The sequence below is a fragment of the Homo sapiens genome, chromosome 4 (genome assembly GCF_000001405.40).
Source record: "Homo sapiens chromosome 4, GRCh38.p14 Primary Assembly".
NCBI classification, from domain to species: Eukaryota; Metazoa; Chordata; class Mammalia; order Primates; family Hominidae; genus Homo; species Homo sapiens.
The window spans coordinates 61,711,665-61,730,433 of record NC_000004.12 but is presented as its reverse complement, the minus strand read 5'-3'; the positions used below and the strand labels follow the sequence as shown (position 1 = coordinate 61,730,433).

Below are 18,769 nucleotides of genomic sequence, written 5' to 3'. Positions count from 1 at the left end.
ATCATATTATATGCTTTAAAATGTAAACTTTGAGAAAAAGGGCAAAAATTAATCAAACTATGATTAAATAAACACACCATTCCAAATTACAGACACAGGAAATGCAATATTCATAATAAGAACACCAATATTTCCATTGGAAAGGCAGGTCGGCAATTATACAAAGAAAGCTTTCAAATAGTTTGACTAGTCTCACTTATAAATATTATAGTTTATACCACTATTTCACATAATAGTTGTGCTTTCTATGCATTTCAAAGAATTTGTTCAGAAGGAACTACTCGGCAACTCATTTCCTAAGGCCTAAGATTTCCTGTAGCTTGTCAGTCTTATGAGAAATGCACCTCATGAGACTACACATTAATGTTGAATGATCTTACCCTAAATAAATTGATTTGGAATCCTTATTGAAGAAAGTTTTCTCCCTCCCGCTCATTAGTATTTGATATTACTGTGGAAAAATACTGTGCTTCAGAAAAATACATTATCAGAAGGTTTAGAAAAATAATGAGCCACTGGCTCTGGTCTTTTCTGAAATTCTTAACAGAGTCAACATACACTTATAAAAATAGAGATCCTCAAACATGTTATGTTTATACATTTCAAATTAAATTCCATAATTATTTTTAAGGTACTGACCAATACAAGTCAGTAAAAATTTTGGAAAATTGTTAACGTATTCACAAACTCATCAAACAGCATCTCTTTATCTTATAAATATTTTGTTTCACAGAGACAATTTGCTATATTCTAACATGGAAAAAGGGACCAATGAGAAAAAAGAGGAGAATGTCAGGGAAGAACGAGTTCACAACACAAACTTTAAAAAATCACAGATTTCAAGTGATGTAAAACTAAAGCAATTTCAGTGGAAGAGATGAACTGAGATATGCACAATAAATAAATTTAAAATGCTAGTAAGGTTTCAAAAACAAGTGAGAAATACTGTTTGGCATAATTACATTTGGGTGATATCTTTATACTTGATCTAAGCTTGAGTGTCTCCAGTTATTGTCAAAACCATACTCGTTTCTCTCCAACGACTTTTTTGAAGCCTCAATATCATGTTGCAAAGTGATATTGAGTGGTGATATTCCTCAATCTCACCAAGGAAAAACTGGCATATATCAAAAGTTCTGCTTAGAAAGTTGCAAATAAGGTTATCAAATTTTAGATCCTTCATCTCGCTAATTAATAAATATTATTATGTTTTAAATAGTTTCAACTTTTATTTTGGCATCGGGGGTACATGTACAGGTTTGTTACATGGATATATAATGTGATACTGAGGTTTGGAGTATGACTGATCCCATCACCCAGGTAGTGAGCACAGTATCTAACAGTAAGTTTTTCAACCCTCACCCCCCTCCCTCCCTCTCTACAAATATTATTTTTAACAATATTTCTTGGATGCTTTTAAAAACTCCATTATACTGTCATATTTATCATCATCCTCAATCTTTATTGAGTAACTCCAGGGTTTACTGGACTGTATGTCTCGAATAGGCTAATACAGGCATCTCAAGCCTTATCTGAGATGCACTTCATGCTTATACCAGAATAATCACAAACCTATATTCAGACTGACAACTAAGCACCTTAACAAATTGCATAATCGATAGTCTCCAAAGTATAGACATTATAACGAAGGCTGAGGTTGGGGATAGAAAGTCATATGAAAGTTGACATTTGTCAACAACTAGCCTACAAAGAAGTTTTCAGAACTAATTTGGTTCCTTGAAATAGCCTTAGATAGCAATATCTTCCTGATAAATACAGAGACAGAGACTTACATTCTAAAATACAAAAATGCTCGTTCATGGAACTTTAGTCTTTTTTAACATAAAACTCATAGACAATCTTATTTTTGAGTGGAAATATCTTAACTTCTTTGTGAGTTTTATTTCTCTCTTCAACAAATACTTAATGAGAAGACAGGCTATGTAACAAAAAAGTATTGGCAAAGGTATCTGTTATATTCTTCAAATATTATCCTACACTTTGATGGAAATTTTTATTTTTTGAAGAGCTTTAACCTCTATTAACTCAACTGCCATTTGGTAAAATTTTGATTTTGATTCTCTGGTCCTGTTTAATATCAGAGAAATTGGCATAAGCTGTAGAATAAGTAAAGCTTGCCTCTGTTGATTGCTGGTTACTCAAAATGAAGATTTATTAGGCTGTTGTGCTTTGGAGAAAATTATTATGATCTTGCCCATGTCATGACTGGCTGTAGCTCATTTATCATTTATTTGATATTTTCAAGACTGAAGTAAAACAGTCCTATAATTTAAGTTGAAACAAGCGCACACAAATCATATTCCCATAACAAAAACCGGCAAGACAACATAATTTGTCATTGAAAAGCTTGGTAACACTAAGGATTGGCCAGTCATTACCTATCATTTAATTCTGATTCTAGAAGCTTCCCTTCACTGAATAAATAATCAAATTACATGAATACAAGAAACAAGCACACTACTGTATCTTGCACAACCACATAATAAATACTCAGTGAATAGCTCTTGAATTAAATACATAATCCAAATAACATTGAACAATTTTGCTTCTTGATATTTTAAGCATGTGGTAAAAAGAAAAAGTGGTGAAATAGAATCTGCATTCACTATATAAAATCATATTGCAATGCATTATCTGCATAATGTCTGTGTATTTTAATGGGTGGGGAAGAAAGTAAAATTTATAAGCAATTTGTATCTCTAACCCATTAAATATAAAACTGGAGAGCAAAAGAAGAAAAAGTATATGGGTGGTATTGTGGGTTATATTGGCAAAAAACATTTGTTGCTACAAAACAGCCTGCAGTGATCTAAAAACACAGGCCTAAAATACTCCCTTCCCTCCTCTCTGTAATGAGATAATAAATAAATGAATTGCATGATGACAACTGTGCAAGGGCCTTTTTCAGGATCTCTTGTTTTTTAGTCTAGTCCAATATCCTGAATTCTGGCATAGCTGTTATTGTTCATTTCCAAACGTTTTTGAAACGAGTTTGTCTCCTTTTCTCTCTACATTTTTAATTTCCAAACTATTTTTACTGTGCATTCAGCCTCTATAAATATGTTTATATATTTCCTTAAAGTGATTTCATTGTTGTCCTTTCTCAAACTTAATGTCATAAGCTATATCCTGTGGTTAGAATAAATGACAAATTCAAACTAAGGAGAATTTTATTCTGTATAAAAGAAAGAAATAGGTAAAAATGACTAGTAAATTTTCCTCTATATTTCCCAAGAGTTTATAAAATACATATAATATATAGTCATGTTATTGTTTCAAAAAATAAGATATTTGTTCAGCCATTTCTGAATCATATGCAATACCTTTGAATTGCATTGTTTAATTAGAAAAGGTATGGATCAGAGAGCATAGGTATGTACTGCCAAGTTTTTTAAAATTACATCACAAAATAGAGAGAAATAAATTTGTTGCATGCCAAAAATTGTTAATGCCATAACTAAGAACTATGAACTTGTATTCAATTTTAATGTTTAAATTTTATTTTCTTTTAAACTATAAAAATCATAGAACACATTTTCTATTTACAATGCAGAATGTTACAATCCAATAATGCCCCCATATTTCTGTAATCTATAAGAAAAAAGACACTTATAGGGGACATAACATGGTAATAAAATATTAAATAATTTATAAACAATTTTTTTCCTTGCAATGTAATAGTATTGTTAAAAGAATGATTTTCCTTGTAACATTTGGTTTAGACTATTAAAATACATTTGGGTACCCTTATCACATGGCAGCTGGGCAGTTGGGATATGGCAGAAAGGCAAAATAAGAAAGTAATAAAAAAATCACAACCAGTTACCTAATCACAACCAGTTGCATAATCAAAAGCTCACAATACTATAGGTTGAAGATCCCAGATCTAAAAATCTGAAATAAAAAATGTTCCAGGCTGGGCGTGGTGGCTCACGCCTGTAATCCCAGCACTTTGGGAGTTCGAGGTGGGTGGATCACCTGAGTTCGGGAGTTCGAGACCAGCCTGGCCAACACGGTGAAACCCTATCTCTACTAAAAATACAAACATTAGCTGGGTGGGGTGATGCATGACTGTAATCCCAGCAACTCGGGAGGCTGAGGCAGAAGAATCACTTGAACCCAAAAGGCAGAGGTTGCAGTGAGCCAAGATCGCGCCACTGCACTCCAACCTGGGCGACAGGGTGAGACTCCTTCTCAAAAAACAAAAAAAAAAGTTCCAGTGAGTATTTCCCTTGAGCATCATGTTTGCACTAAAAAATTTTCAGATTTTGGAGCATTTAGGTTCTCCAGAACAATGAATATATTTCAAAATCCCAAATATCCAAAATCTGAAACATTTCTGATCCCAAGAATTTTGGATAAGGGATACTTAGCCTATACTTTATATATGAACAGCATTTTATAATTTAATAAAATGCTTTCACATGAATCACCTTATTTAATTATTGAAGTATTAACAGCATAACAATGTGATATTGTATTTATTATTCCCATCAGAGAAGAGTAAAGAGGGTCTAAACACTAAAGGATTTGACCAAGGTCAACCTTGGTAGGTGGCAGAGTCCTGCCGTTTGTCTAATACCATATGCTCACAACATACAAACTCAATGAAACACAGTTTAATTGTTGTACTCTTGCTCTCCATTTTCATCAAATCCATGAAAAAGCATACTTTAGAAAAGACAAAAATATAAATAGAATCTCCCTGAGGGTAGGCACTATATCTGGTATAATATTCATTCATTAAGTACTGAAATTTTGCATACAAAACTGAGTAGACTTTTGTTTTTTTTTGTTTTTTTTTGGTTTTTTTTTTTTGAGATGAAGTCTCGCTCTGTTGCCCAGGCTGCAGTGCAATGGCGCAATCTTGGCTCACTGCAAGCTCTGCCTCCCGGGTTCACACCATTCTCCTGCCTCAGCCTCCCCAGTAGCTGGGACTACAGGCACCTGCCACCACGCCTGGCTAATTTTGTTTTGTATTTTTAGTAGAGATGGGGTTTCACTGTGTAAGCCAGGATGTGATTTGCCCGTCTCAGCCTCCCAAAGTGCTGGGATTACAGGCATGAGCCACTGCACCCAGCCTTAAGTAGACATTTAAATGCAGGCATTCTCATTACCCCAACTTTTCAAATGGGGAAACTGAGGCACAAATACCATGGCTCTATGGCTAATAAGTTTAGGTAGCTAGGCTTTGTTTAGGTCAAGTTGAAACAGGAATTCAGGTTTCGATATTATTCATTATTGATGTTCAATAAGATAAAAATTCATCTTACTCATCTACAGTGCTCAACACATAAACAGAGCTTAATTAATATTTGCCATGCTTTGTGCAATGACTAAATGGCACTATGGTATTTTCAAAGAAAGGGACAGAATGACACACTTTTCAGTGCTATCACCCCTTGAGACTAGTGTACTAGTGTTACAAAGCAACTCTCTAGAGAAGATAAAATACAGGAAAAAAAATGGTTTCCACATTTCTTGACTAAGGAAAACCAAGATTTCTCTTATAACTGGAAACAAACCTGTGCTGAATAACTCATGTCTCCCTAATAGTTATTATTCCAAAACAGATAATTCTCTTCTTCCATTTCACTTCTACCAAGAAATACAGAAGCACTTCAGTAAATAGAAATAAAAAAAAATGTGAAGTTCATTCAATTTTTTGGTATATTGCATATCAAAAATTCTGACAGACATCTGTCACTTTCAGTAAATAAAGTACTAATCCTTTATTTAATGAGAGGAGTAATCTCTGCAGCTCAGCTTCTAAATTATGTTTTTCAAATAATACCCATGCATCACTGAATAAAAGTGCTGCTCAAGTACCTTGCATTACAATGGCTTTATATAATTTGTTTCCAAAATTAACACCTCCTAATGAATTTCATCCTGGAGTGTGCAGATTGAAAATGCCAATAATTCATAGAATGCTTTTGCTAGCCATATTCTAATTTAAACACTTAAATGCAATATCTATAGATGCTACAGAAACTGGGATGGCCTTTTATTTTGTATTAACATTCCATGCCATTGATGGATCTGCAAAACCTTTCAAACTATTAATTCAGCCTTTTAGAAGAAAATGCAGCTCTCTTAGTAGACTCTTTTGAGAATCTATTTATAATAGCTTTAGTAAAAATAATAATTTTTCGAAGTTATTATTGGTAATACTTAAAGTTGATACAACATTTGCTTCTTCAATGACGTACCCTTGTTACAATGATTTGTTACTACTATATGATAACCACATGACATTTAAAGTAGCTAAACAAAAAACAAAGGCAGAGTTACCTCAGATTGTATAAGACTAAATATGCGTGTTTATATATTAGATTCACTGAATTCATCTGTGGAGCTCCTGTTATGCTCAACACACTTACAGATGTGAATAGAGACAAATAGTAACAATCATAACACTTAACAGTTACTGAATGTGTACTCTGTGAAGAGTCAATCTGTGAATCATTTTATTTCATCCTCATCGAAACTCATGACTTTGGTGATACTATTATTACAGAAGTTATTAAGAAATTATTTTAGGTATGGAGAAAGGGTAAGGAGTCCTCGGTAAGGCTTTTTCTTTTAATAAAAAGCTCCCAAAACATTTCTTTTCTAATAGAAAAGTGAAAAGCCTGACCGGCAAGCATTGATATGCAAATGCTGGGAAATAGAAACCTGATCCACCCAACATGGCGGTTCCCTCCCTCTTCTAGTCACCACATACGCCAGGTGTCATGGCTGCCTCTAGATAACACCACCTGTGCAAGACATCATGGCGACCTGCATCTGTACATTAAATGGCTAAGGTGGGAGGGCCAGTTTTTTTCACTGGCTACGTGAATGACACACCTGGTAAAACCAATCCCCTGGGCCCTATGCAAATCAGACACCGCCTCCTCCAGCCTCCCAGTATAACTGACTGCTTTCTGTGGAAGGGGCAGGGGTTTTTATCTGTTCAGAGCCCCCACTCCCTCTGTATGGGGGAGCTTTTTTCTTCTTTCTTGCCTATTAAACTTTCCTCTCCTTAAAACCACTCCACGTGTGTCCGTGTCATTAATCTTATCCGTGTGAGACAAGGGACCAGGGTGTTTCTCCGGTCATTGGAGCCATATCACTATTATGACCATGCTATAAAGGACAAACTAATCTCTGCTTCAGGGAAACTTATAGTCTAATAATTGGTGATTTTCAGTATACTTATTTACTAAAGATAAGCTGTTCTTAAATGCTGTCAAAGAAATCTGTGTAAAGACTTTAAAAACAGACAAGAATAGAAGTGAATGACAGAGAAAGGGGGAATTGTCAAGAGAAGCTGAAGTTAGAAACACAAGGCATAACAGTTTGACTAAAATTAAACTTCCTATGGAAAATGTCATCTATTTGTTCCTAAGACATGTATTTTTGACTGATTCTTATTACTGGGTTCTATACATCCAGCTCTGGATATGTAACAAATATGATATTAAAAATGAATCTAGATCTAATTTCAGAAATTTAGTAAATACTTTTAAATTAATAGTCCCAGAGTTTGGAGGCTGAAAGTATGTTAGATGCCATTTAGTTTGAGTTGATATTTTATAAATAAGAAAAATGAAACCAGATAATTGAGATATTAGCTCCAAATCAGAGTTTATTTTAGATTAATTGGCATTCCAATTTTATCAAACACCAAAAAAACTGATGAGTAAAGATCTTAAACCTATCTTCTAAGGGCTTCAGTTGACATATATAGGATATATTTGACGTATTTTCTACATGTCAATTTCTAAAGAATTCTACAATTAATTTTATTTTTTGTTTCAGTTCTAGAAATCATATTTGTACTAAGGAACATATTATTATTCACCATGTTATTATTAAATACAAAATATTTTCTGTTCTTTGGCTAGTGAATCCAGCCCCAAGTTGACCGAGGCAGTTGAAAGAATTGTACAAAGTGACAGAGTATTCCATAGTTCTTAAGCATTCCTAGGCTATTCCTCAAGATGTTGGGTTTTGTTGGTGTTTTGTTTTTTTCTCATGGAATGTCTTGTTGGGTTTTGTTGTTCTATTCTCTTGCATGAAATGATGATAGAAACTTACCGTTCCAAGATTAATTCACAAGATTTCAAGAGCTCTGGTAGAGACAATAGTTATAATTCTATCAGAAATAAACTAACTTGACTTCTTACAGCTAAAGGTTTATCTTGTCAATAGAATCAGGATAGCAATTTCTGCCTTCACAATCCATAAAATTGTTAAGTGAATCAAAAATTATCACATTACTTACTACTTTATTTTAAATGCTCCTAAGGATTAAAAAGTAAACTGTGATTTGGGGCTAATATCTGAATTAGCTGGCTTCATTTTTCTCATTTATAAAATATCGGCTCAAATTAAATGATATCCAAATCTTTAGATTCATTACTATAATCTTCCAATATGTGTTTCTTATATATTTTTATATAATTTCAGAAAATTCAATGAATCTGCCATCTCTATAAATAAATTTTTATACAAACAGTATTTGTTTTTCAGGCTTTCTATCAAATTTCTATTCATATTTGAAAGGCCAAACATTTTGTAAAACCTACATGAAGCTTCTGATTTACCTTTTATTTTTGTCTTACCTAATCTGCTTTGTGTTTGTCACTGAGCACTCACATACCTCAAAAGGGGAGTGATGGGAGGAAAGGATGTCTTACATAATGATTGTTGCTTGTGAAAGTGACTGTGCATGTAAAACCCTCAAATATACTGTGATGGTTAGCACTGAGTGTCAACTTGATTGGATTTAAGAATATACAGTATTGTTCCTGGGTGTGTCTGTGAGGGTGTTACCAAAGGAGATGAACATTTGAGTCAGTGGACTGGGAGATGCAGACCTACCCTCAATCTGAGTGGGCACAATCTAATCAGCTGCCAGCGCAGGGGCTAGAATAAAGCAGGCAGAAGTTGGAAAGAGCAAACTTGTTGAGTCTTCTGGGCTTCATCTTTTTTCTGTGCTGGATGCTTCCTGCCCTCACACATCACACTACAAGTTCTTCAGCTTTTGGACCCTTGGGCTTACATCAGTGATTTGCAAGGGCTCTCAGGCCTTTGGCCACAGACTGAAGGCTACACTGTCAGCTTCCCTACTTTTGAGGTTTTGGGACTCAGACTGGCTTCCTTGCTCCTCAGTTTGCAGGCAGCCTATTGTGGGACTTCACCTTGTGATCGTGTGTCAATACTCCTTAATAAACTCCCCTTCACATATACATCTATCCTATTAGTCCTGTCCCTCTAGAGAACCTTAATACTGTTGCTAAGAAAGATTTGTAATCTGTGGAATTCCTCCTTATTGATATTCACATTTAAGTTATTCTTAGTCCTACTTATTTAGCATTTACACTATAACAGTATATTTGCTGGGTACTTCCTCTATTATCTTATTTAATCCTCACATCAACCCTGCTGAGATGATTGTCACCATTATGCAGATGAGGAGACAGTAGAAGACTCATATAACTAGTAATCGGTAGAGCTGGTGTTTGAACTTCGAAGCCTGCACTAAACCTCTGTGCTATGCTCCCTGGGAAAACAGAACATAAGGATTATGATAATTATGAGAACAACTCATATTTATTAACTGCCTTCCTTATTATCCACTTAATGCATTACCATTAGCAATTAGATAGTGTCACGATTTCAATATTACAAAGGCAGAAACTATGCTACAGATAAGTTAAATAAATAGTAAGTGCCACATTCAAGATACAATGCCAGGCTTCTCACCAGAGCACAACTGCTAAACCACTATCTTTCATGTGCAAGCTACTATTATTGAATATCTCCACTGATTAAAGAGCAAATACTATTCCCAGCTACCCCTATTACTCTCTACATGCCATCAGTGCTTTATCTGCTAAGTTATATTTAGCAGAAATAGAAAATTACTTTATGGCCTGCTCTTAATAAAAATATGATTGTGATTTCAACAAACAAAACATTTGAAAGTTAATATCAGTAACTAGGAATAACTTATCTTAAAAAAGTGTCACTCTAGTCGGGCATGGTGGCTCACGCCTGTAATCCTAGCACTTTGGGAGGCCGAGGTGTGTGGATCACGAGGTCGGGAGTTGGACACCAGCCTGGCCAATATGGTGAAACCCCATCTCTACTAAAAATACAAAAATTAACTGGGCGTGGTGGTGGGCGCCTGTAGTCCCAGCTACTCAGGAGGCTGAGGCAGAAGAATCCCTTCAACCTGGGAGGCGGAGCTTGCAGTGAGCTGAGATTGAACCACTGCACTCCAGCCTGGGTGACAGTGTGAGACTCTGTCTCAGAAAAAAAAAAAAAAAAGTATCACTCTGAGTTTTGCTAAAGAATCTCTTCTCAGAGTCATCTATTTAAGATCTCTTTTCAGATTACATTGCTTTTCTTGGACATCATTTAAGGCAGTATCACATTCCAGACTTACAAGGCACAATGTTGGTCACTTGGAAAGCAAGGAGCCAGCATTTGAGTTAAGTCAGTAATGTCTGACAGGGGGCGGGAGCGGTGGCTCAGGCCTGTAATCTTAGCACTTTACAGGGCTGAGGTGGGCAGATCACTTGAGGTCAGGAGTTCAAGACCAGCCTGGCCAACATAATGAAAACCAGTCTCCACTAAAAAATACAAAAATTAGCCAGGCGTAGTGGTGGGCACCTGTAGTTCCAGCTACTCAGGAGGCTGAGGCAGGAGAATCACTTGAATCTGGGAGGCGGAGGTTGCAGTGAGCCAAGCATGGCCACTGCACTCTAGCCTGGGTGACCGGGTGAGACTCTGTCTTAAAAAAAAAAAAAAAAGGTATGACAGAGGTGAAAGAAATGCAGGGTTAGAAGAATTAAATATGCCAAGAAGAAAGTGGTACACATAAAACTGTTTGCTAGTGTTTATCTTACTTGAAAGAAAAATCATGTTTTATTAATCATGTATCTTACAGTACACTTGTAGAAGAAGCAGTTTTTCTCATGTGGTTCCTCCTGTTTCTTCTTTCATTCTTCAGTGACCATCACAGTGTGTTCATGACAATTCAGTAGCATGATTCCATTGGCTTAACCAAATATACTTAATTGGATAGTGAATGGTTTCTACTTATTTTCCACTCTTTATGATGGATTTAGTTCTGTAGTATTGGGATATTTAATACAAGAATTGCATGCCTCCGAGAATGATGGCATCATATTCCCTATTTGTTTTCCTTACGAATTTATGTTCCTCCTTTGAGAGATAGTGACAGAAAGAATAAATATTCCTTAAAAAGTAGTTATAAATTGGGTAGGTCAAAGTTGACAAAGGAAATAATAAGCAGATAGCTATCCAAATGTATATAATGTGATACACAATCCAAAGGTGAGAAATTGAATAGAAAAATTAAATTAAAACAAATAGAAACACAGCATAAAGTATGCTTTCCCTCTCATTCTTTATCATACTCAGCCAACATCTGTGAAGCAATTCACTAAATGCATGTCTTGTTTGTTTTAGTGAAATGTGTCAAATTAGAGGAAAAGTCAGTTTTAGAGAATGAAACAAATGACCACATTATTCTTTGCTCTATTGGACCACTGTCAACATACTTTATAATCTATTTAAACTAACTAGCCCCAGCTATTTTTTTTTCCTTAAAAGCCATCTGTAGAAGGGTCATAAAAAGAAATTTGTTAGTGAGATCATTAAGGAAGGAACTACCAACAATATAACATTACTAGGTGTAACTTTCTCACCAATTAAATCAGCTTCCTGGTAGACAACAAAAAGTGATTGATATCTACTAAACTGATTAGAGTTGAAACTTATTAAATCTTTAATTTTATGTTTATATTCACTGTAAGTACTATATAAATCTTAGTACATCTTCCACATAAGGTGATCTTTTTTGTAAAAAAATTCAACTTTAAAGAACAAATACATTTCAAATAGAAGTTATATGTTTTCAGGAACAACTATGTAATGACAAATTCTGCTAACTTACTAGAAAGTAACCTGTATATGTTTAACGACTGCTTCATTCACTGCTGTGAAATATTCACTTAAAGCAAGCCACTCAATAAGTATTTTCAATTTATTAAATAAATCCAAGGGTTTTCTATCTCAGGTGCTCTTGAATAACAGGTACAACTTTATTTGTATTAAGAAAGGCAAATTTAAAGAAAAAAATAAAATGGCTATGTGGATTGTACCAATGCTATGCTGAAGTGAATACTTTCTGATTATAAAGTTTAATCAATACATCTATTTGTTATTTTTGGTTAATATTCTAATTACAAAAAACCCCACCAAAACCCAAAAAACAAATAACCATGGTCTGTTCCATTATGCTACATTTTTATTGTATTGTATTTTATTTTATTTTACTTTATTTTATTTTATTTATTTATTTTGAGACAACTCTGTCACACAGGCTGCTGTGCAGTGGCCTGATCTCAGGTTACTGCAACCTCCGCCTCCCAGGTTCAAGCAATCCTCCCTCCTCAGCCACCCGAGTAGCTAGGACTACAGGCATGTACCACCATGCCTGGCTAATTTTTGCACTTTTAATTGAGATGGGGTTCCACCACGTTGGCCAGGCTGATCTCGAACTCCTGATCTCAGGTGATCTGCGTGCCTCGGCCTCCCAAAGTGCTGGGATTACAGGTGTCAGCCACAATGCCCAGCCCCATTATGCTACATTTTTAAATAATGAAAACTGCAAACAAAATAGCTTACATTTGAGGGCATTTTAAACATAATTAAATAAGTGCATAATTTTAAAACAAGAAGAATTTATAGAAACAATAGCCAACAACTATTGAATGTTTACTATGTGTAAACTCTTACTACTAACTTATCAAAACGACTTTTTGATAGGAACTATATTATCACCATTTCACAGATAAAACAAGTGAGGAGCAGAGACATTAAATTACTTGCTCAAGGTCACAAATCAGGTAAGAAATAGAGCTAGGAATTTATAAGACAATCTGGCTCCAAGGTTTATGCTCATTGGATAGCATATAATTTCCCAAGAAGATTACAGATCAGTTGGTACTGAATTATTTTTTTCTCACCCAGGAAATGAAGTAGCACAATTCCGATGCCCTATTTCAAAGGTCAATGGATTTGAAAAATATATTCAAATGCATGATGTTTTAAATGAAATCTCAAGTCATGAATTTTGGATGGTTTGTTATACACACACACACACACGCACACACACACACACACACACACATAAACTATGTGGCCTACAGAATTTGGCATCTACTTCAAAAAAAATGATACACACATTTGGAAACAGCGTGGAGGTAAAGTTTTAGGTTTCTGAGATTTATGAGATGTATATTTACTAACCACAAACAATTACATCTTAACCCGCAAGTCTCTCCTTAACATCAGTTCACCTTTCATGCATCTAGATGCATGAATTCATCACACCATGGTCAAGTTCTAGACTCTTCTGTGCCTTATTAATTTTACAGAAGAAGAGAGATTTATCACAGAAAATATGAACTCCTTAGTGATGGAAGTTAACATCAAAAGCCTACATAATAAAAGGAAAGACAGTATAAAATCCTGGTGTGCTGCAATGCTATGACAATGGGCTTTTTGTTCTTTTTCAAAACACGCATAGTTTCATCTACCATTGTAAAACTGATGTCTTAATAGTACATCTAAGTTTATGCATTTGGAGGATTTGGCAGTCTTTTATGAATCTTCTCCCTCGGTTTAGTGAACTATATATTATCTATTTGAATTCAGGGCCATTAAATTCTTGCAAAGTGTTTATTGCACAATACATATTATTGGTCCTGTCACTGAACAGTGCCCTCTTTCTGTTTTATAGCTAATGTAGCATTTCTCCATGACATCGATAGATTAAAACATTTACTACCAGAAAAATTATGTGAAAATGGAGCAAACTCATTTCGCTACAAGCTAACTCAATAAATCTGTCCAGTTTACTGATGTTCACTTTCCTTTAAAATCGGTACGTATTTATCTTGCAAACTTCAAGAAGGCAGAAGAGAGAGGTTAATTTTCTTTTTTTCTACCCCTGGCAGCAATGCTACATTGATAATGTTAATAAATGGCAGTTGAATAGAACCAGATCTATATTTCTGATATGTACTCAGGAAAATTTAGAAAAGGGTCAATGAGGGATGTATTAAGATTTTTAAAAGGTTCTATCTACTGTTTCTAGAGCCACACACCAGTCTTTCAATAACAGAAGAAGGAAGTACAGCTAAAGTTAATTGGTTGAATTTTATGATGCTAACTTGATGCCTTTCTTAAATTTATCACCAAAAAATAAGTCATTAGCAAATCTAATTTGCTTCCATTTGAGCAAATAAAAATAAAATACAGGCAAATTTAGTCCTGTATTTTTAAGCTGGTAATTGAGGAATAAAGAAAATGGTAGAAATAGTACTTTTCCTGACAGTATTGTCGAGGAAAGGATTTTTTTTTTTTTTTTTTTTTTTACTTTAAGGGCAAACAAACTCTCCCTTTTCCAATTCCTTTCCTGTTATGAAAGGAGATGGTTATGAAAATGGCTTATGTTACTGCCTCTAGAGCCATGCTGACCAATTGGCCAAGCATGCAACACTTAGAATAGATGCTCAGAGATAATAAAAGCCCATCTCTCCAAGTTCTATGTGACAACTTTGTCCTTAGTTATGGCAATAGAGTGGAAAGAAAATAATAAATGTTTATCAAACCAGATCACATCTATAGCTGTAAAATAGCTATGTGACATCTTTTTTTTAACTACCACAAGTGCAAAATATCACTGATTAGATACATGCCAGAATTTTTATTATGACACATTTAGTCTTATTTCTGAAAAGCTATGTGTGAGTGAATAAACATCTTGCTTTCATTTATGTATGTTATTTTCTTGAACATATATTAATACTTTCCTTTTACACAAGAAAAAGCAAGTTGCTTATAGAGCCATTCTTCCTTAATTAGCTGTTTTGGAATTAAATATGATTCTCCTATATCTGCACCCCTGCACACACCACTTACCATTGAATACTGCCTTTAACAATCTCCTATACATTCATCTTAAAATGAATGAAATCCCACCTTCACCATGACGTTTTCAGCCTGCTTTTAAAAGATAAATCTTAGGAAGAAAGTTTTATAGATATTTGCCACTTAGATCTTTGAGTAAGACATCTTCAATTACAGTGTTAACCAGAACTTCAATAACCAGTCGAATGTAAGAAAGAAGCAGATTTTGTATAATATTGGCCAAGTGTTTCAAAAATGTAAGTCTTACTTGACCAACAATATTACAGCTGCTCTTTAAGAAGGTAGATAATATGTTAAATGTTAAAAAAGGTGGTAAGATAATTAACATTCTACCAAATCAGATCTCTGAATGGTTATGTAATATTTTCATAATACTAAATAATTAAATACTTGAAATACTTATTGATTGATGATGCCTACAAATGTTTTGAGTTACTCAAACATAAAATGATCAAATATTACTATGTGACATAGCATTCCAGTTTGGGATCCCCTAAAAAGTTGAGCCCAAGACAAGAACTTTGATTCAGGTAGTTTACCGGAGGATGAATCCAGGAAACAAGTGTGAAGGAAAGGAGATGAAGAAAAAGAGGAAAAGCCAAAAATATGTTGCTATTATTACAGCTGTTGCTATTGGCAAGAAGAACCAAATTCTGTCAAGATCCCTGAGAAATACAGACTGCCACCCAGAACCGTACAACTGAAATAGGAAGCTGGAAAAATCTGCATGAGCTCCTCCTCCCCAGTGCTTGAGGACAATCTTTACCAGTATGACATCCACAGCACACAAGCAGATGGCTAGGGTGCCTACCAAGCAAGCCACTGGCATGGAGGAAAGTCTTAGGGAAGAATGTGTAAAGACAAATAGAAGGCATTTGAGATGGGAATTAGGTAGCTGAGGTAGGCCTGCGTGCCCACAAATAGTTCATTTCAGTTTGGCCGAAATCAGAATTGGGCCAAGGGGATACAACATGTGTGCAGAGGCATCTGCTAAATATGTGTGTGTGTGTGTGTGTTTGTGTGTGTGTGTACTCAAGTATACATAAACAATACAATACATTCACCATAATCTTTAACTCTGACTTTCTCATAATATCAAGTTTTATATTTATTTAGCTGTCACTTCAATTTTGTTACTGCAAAATGTATTTTTAATTGTGTGTGTGTGTGCGTATTTTACATGGCAGCTTTTCTTCATTCTCCAACAACAAAAGAACTTTTTTTTTGTTTGTTTACTGCTACAACATTACTAGCTTCTTTTTGTCACTTTCTTTCACATGCAGCTGAGAGTGAAAAGTGCAGAAAAGAATTGTAGCTAGAGGTCTAACATTTACGCATTCCATAGAACTCCTCCTGCAGGCATAAAAGAGGGGATAAGATAGAACTTGTGGCTAATTCTGTCTATTTTCTTGTCAATCCTGGGAATGGAGAAAGAGAAAGATAAATCACCTAGACCATGAATCCTGAGTTCACAAACAGCTTAGATACACCTGATGATTGGGACTTGAACCAAAGTAATAATTCTTTTCTCCTACTTCATTTTGTGATATAACATTTATTCGAAGTTAGCCCTTGAATAGCCTTTCCTGTTTAGATGAGAGAAAATATGTTTAGATAGACCTCTATTGTAAGAAATTATTAAATAAAATACTTTCTACATAAAAACCATTGTTCATTTTTTGGGCTCTTATTTCTTGGTCTTTTAAAGTACATCTTAGCAAGGAACTTTGAAAAATCATCGTTAGTTCAGTATAATGTAAAGGAGTAGAAAATCCTTGAATAAAAAGTATAAAAGAGACAGAGAATGCTTGGAATTTCAACTCATATACTTTCATTTACTGATTTACATATACAAAAGTGAGCCCTCACAACTTTTAAGATTCTGAGAGAATATAATAGACCTAGAATTAGATCAAGGGCGATTAATTTAACACAGTAAATTAGAAAGGAACTTGAAATGTTTATACGCAATTTAAAGGCAACAGAATGTATGCTTTGGTGAACACTAGGCACACAATAAATACTTGCTGATTCATCAGCTTAATGAACTTAATGATGAGTTAATAAGAACTAATTTCTAGATGGAGAAAGAACATACAGGAAAAAAATGAGTATACTCAGTGCTTGTCACACAAGCATAACCGGCTCCAAAATGTCTTCTTATTGCAGGAAATGAGCACAAGATATCATTACTTACTGGTATAATTAATATAAAAATGCAGGATATGTTTATTACTGTTAAAAAGGGCTCCAGAGTCAAGCTAGCGATATAGTAACATGCATTAATATTTACATAATTAAATAATTATAAAGTTTTATCATTACATATTTATGCAATTACTTTTTAATGCACAGAATTCGTTGCTGCAGCTGCAATATCAGGTCTCATCATTTTTCGGGTATCTGGGTATTGTGCCACTCATACCCCCATGTTTGACTGACATACAGTCTTGAAAGCATGTAATAGTCATTTTTGTCAACAGGGACAATTTTAAATTTTAAACAATACATTTCAATGCAGAAATGCAGAACATAAATGTATACAGAGAGAGTCATATCAAGAGACAAAAGGAACTAAAACCACAGTGATGAATATATAAGACAGCACTGGCTTCATTCAGATGGAAGCCATCTTTTGAATTTAAATAGGTGACCAAAGTATGTTCACATAGTGGTATCAGTGATGTAACTGCATGGACCATAAGTCAAAACTTGAGGGGATTGGGATATATGGTAGTGAATTACACACTTCAATTTTAAAATTCCATTCAATTAAGTGAATGGAATTCAAATAGTATAAATACTTGGCATTGTACTGAGCACTTTACATACAACTTCTGATTTATTCATCTTATAATATCTTCATCTTGTGGATAAGGGATCTGAGGCTAAATGAACTGAATGGTCTAAGGATACATGGCTTGAAATGTATGAGTTTAGGATTTCAATTCACATTTGTAGATTGCTAAACTTCCTTTTTTTTTCTTTTTTTGGCCTAGGACATGGTCTTGTTCTCTCACCTAGGCTGCAGTGCAGTGTGGCAAAATCATGCCTCACAGTAGCCTCAACCTTCCAGGCTTAAGTGACCCTCCTGCCTCAGCCTCTCAAGTAGCTGGAACTACAGGCATACACTACTGTGCCTGGCTAATTTTTTATTTATTGTAGAGACAGGGTCTCAATATGTTGCCCAGACTGGTCTCGAATTCCGGGGCTCAAGTGATCCTCTCGTGGCAGCTTCCCAAAGTGCTAGGATTATACTCATGAGCCACCAAACCCGGACCAAAACTTCCTTTCTAACCAAGATGCTATACTGTTCTTTGCGAATGTAACTGAGTATGGAATGAAATGCAAAGGTGAAATATAATTTTTGTTGCAATGATTCCTAAAACTCTCAAACATGTTTTTCCCTGATAGTGTTTAAAGCTATTGGTACTCTAACTGACTTACTGAAAATGGCATCTATTCTGTTAAATTAAGTTTGGCCCAAAGCTGCTCCTGTACATATTTTAAGCTTGACCTAAAGTTTTCTCCATATATATTGAACTGCAATCTCATTTGATGTGTAAATAGACTGTAACTTGGTCTTATTACAAGTAGTGAAGTCTCCGCCAACCACAGACAGCCAACGATTCAAAGCAGGTTCAAATAAGTCACACACTTAACTGTAACCAAACCAGTTGTTTTTGTAGTGCACTTTTGTTTTCTGTATGGCACTTTCTTTTTTCTG

General features: G+C 34.8%; 1 protein-coding gene across 59 annotated transcripts in view; it reads right to left on the bottom strand.

Moving 5' to 3' along the window:
* The window catches only part of ADGRL3 (adhesion G protein-coupled receptor L3), an 878,010-nt gene that overhangs the window by 347,902 nt on the left and 511,339 nt on the right, over positions 1-18,769 (bottom strand). The window lies entirely within an intron of this gene.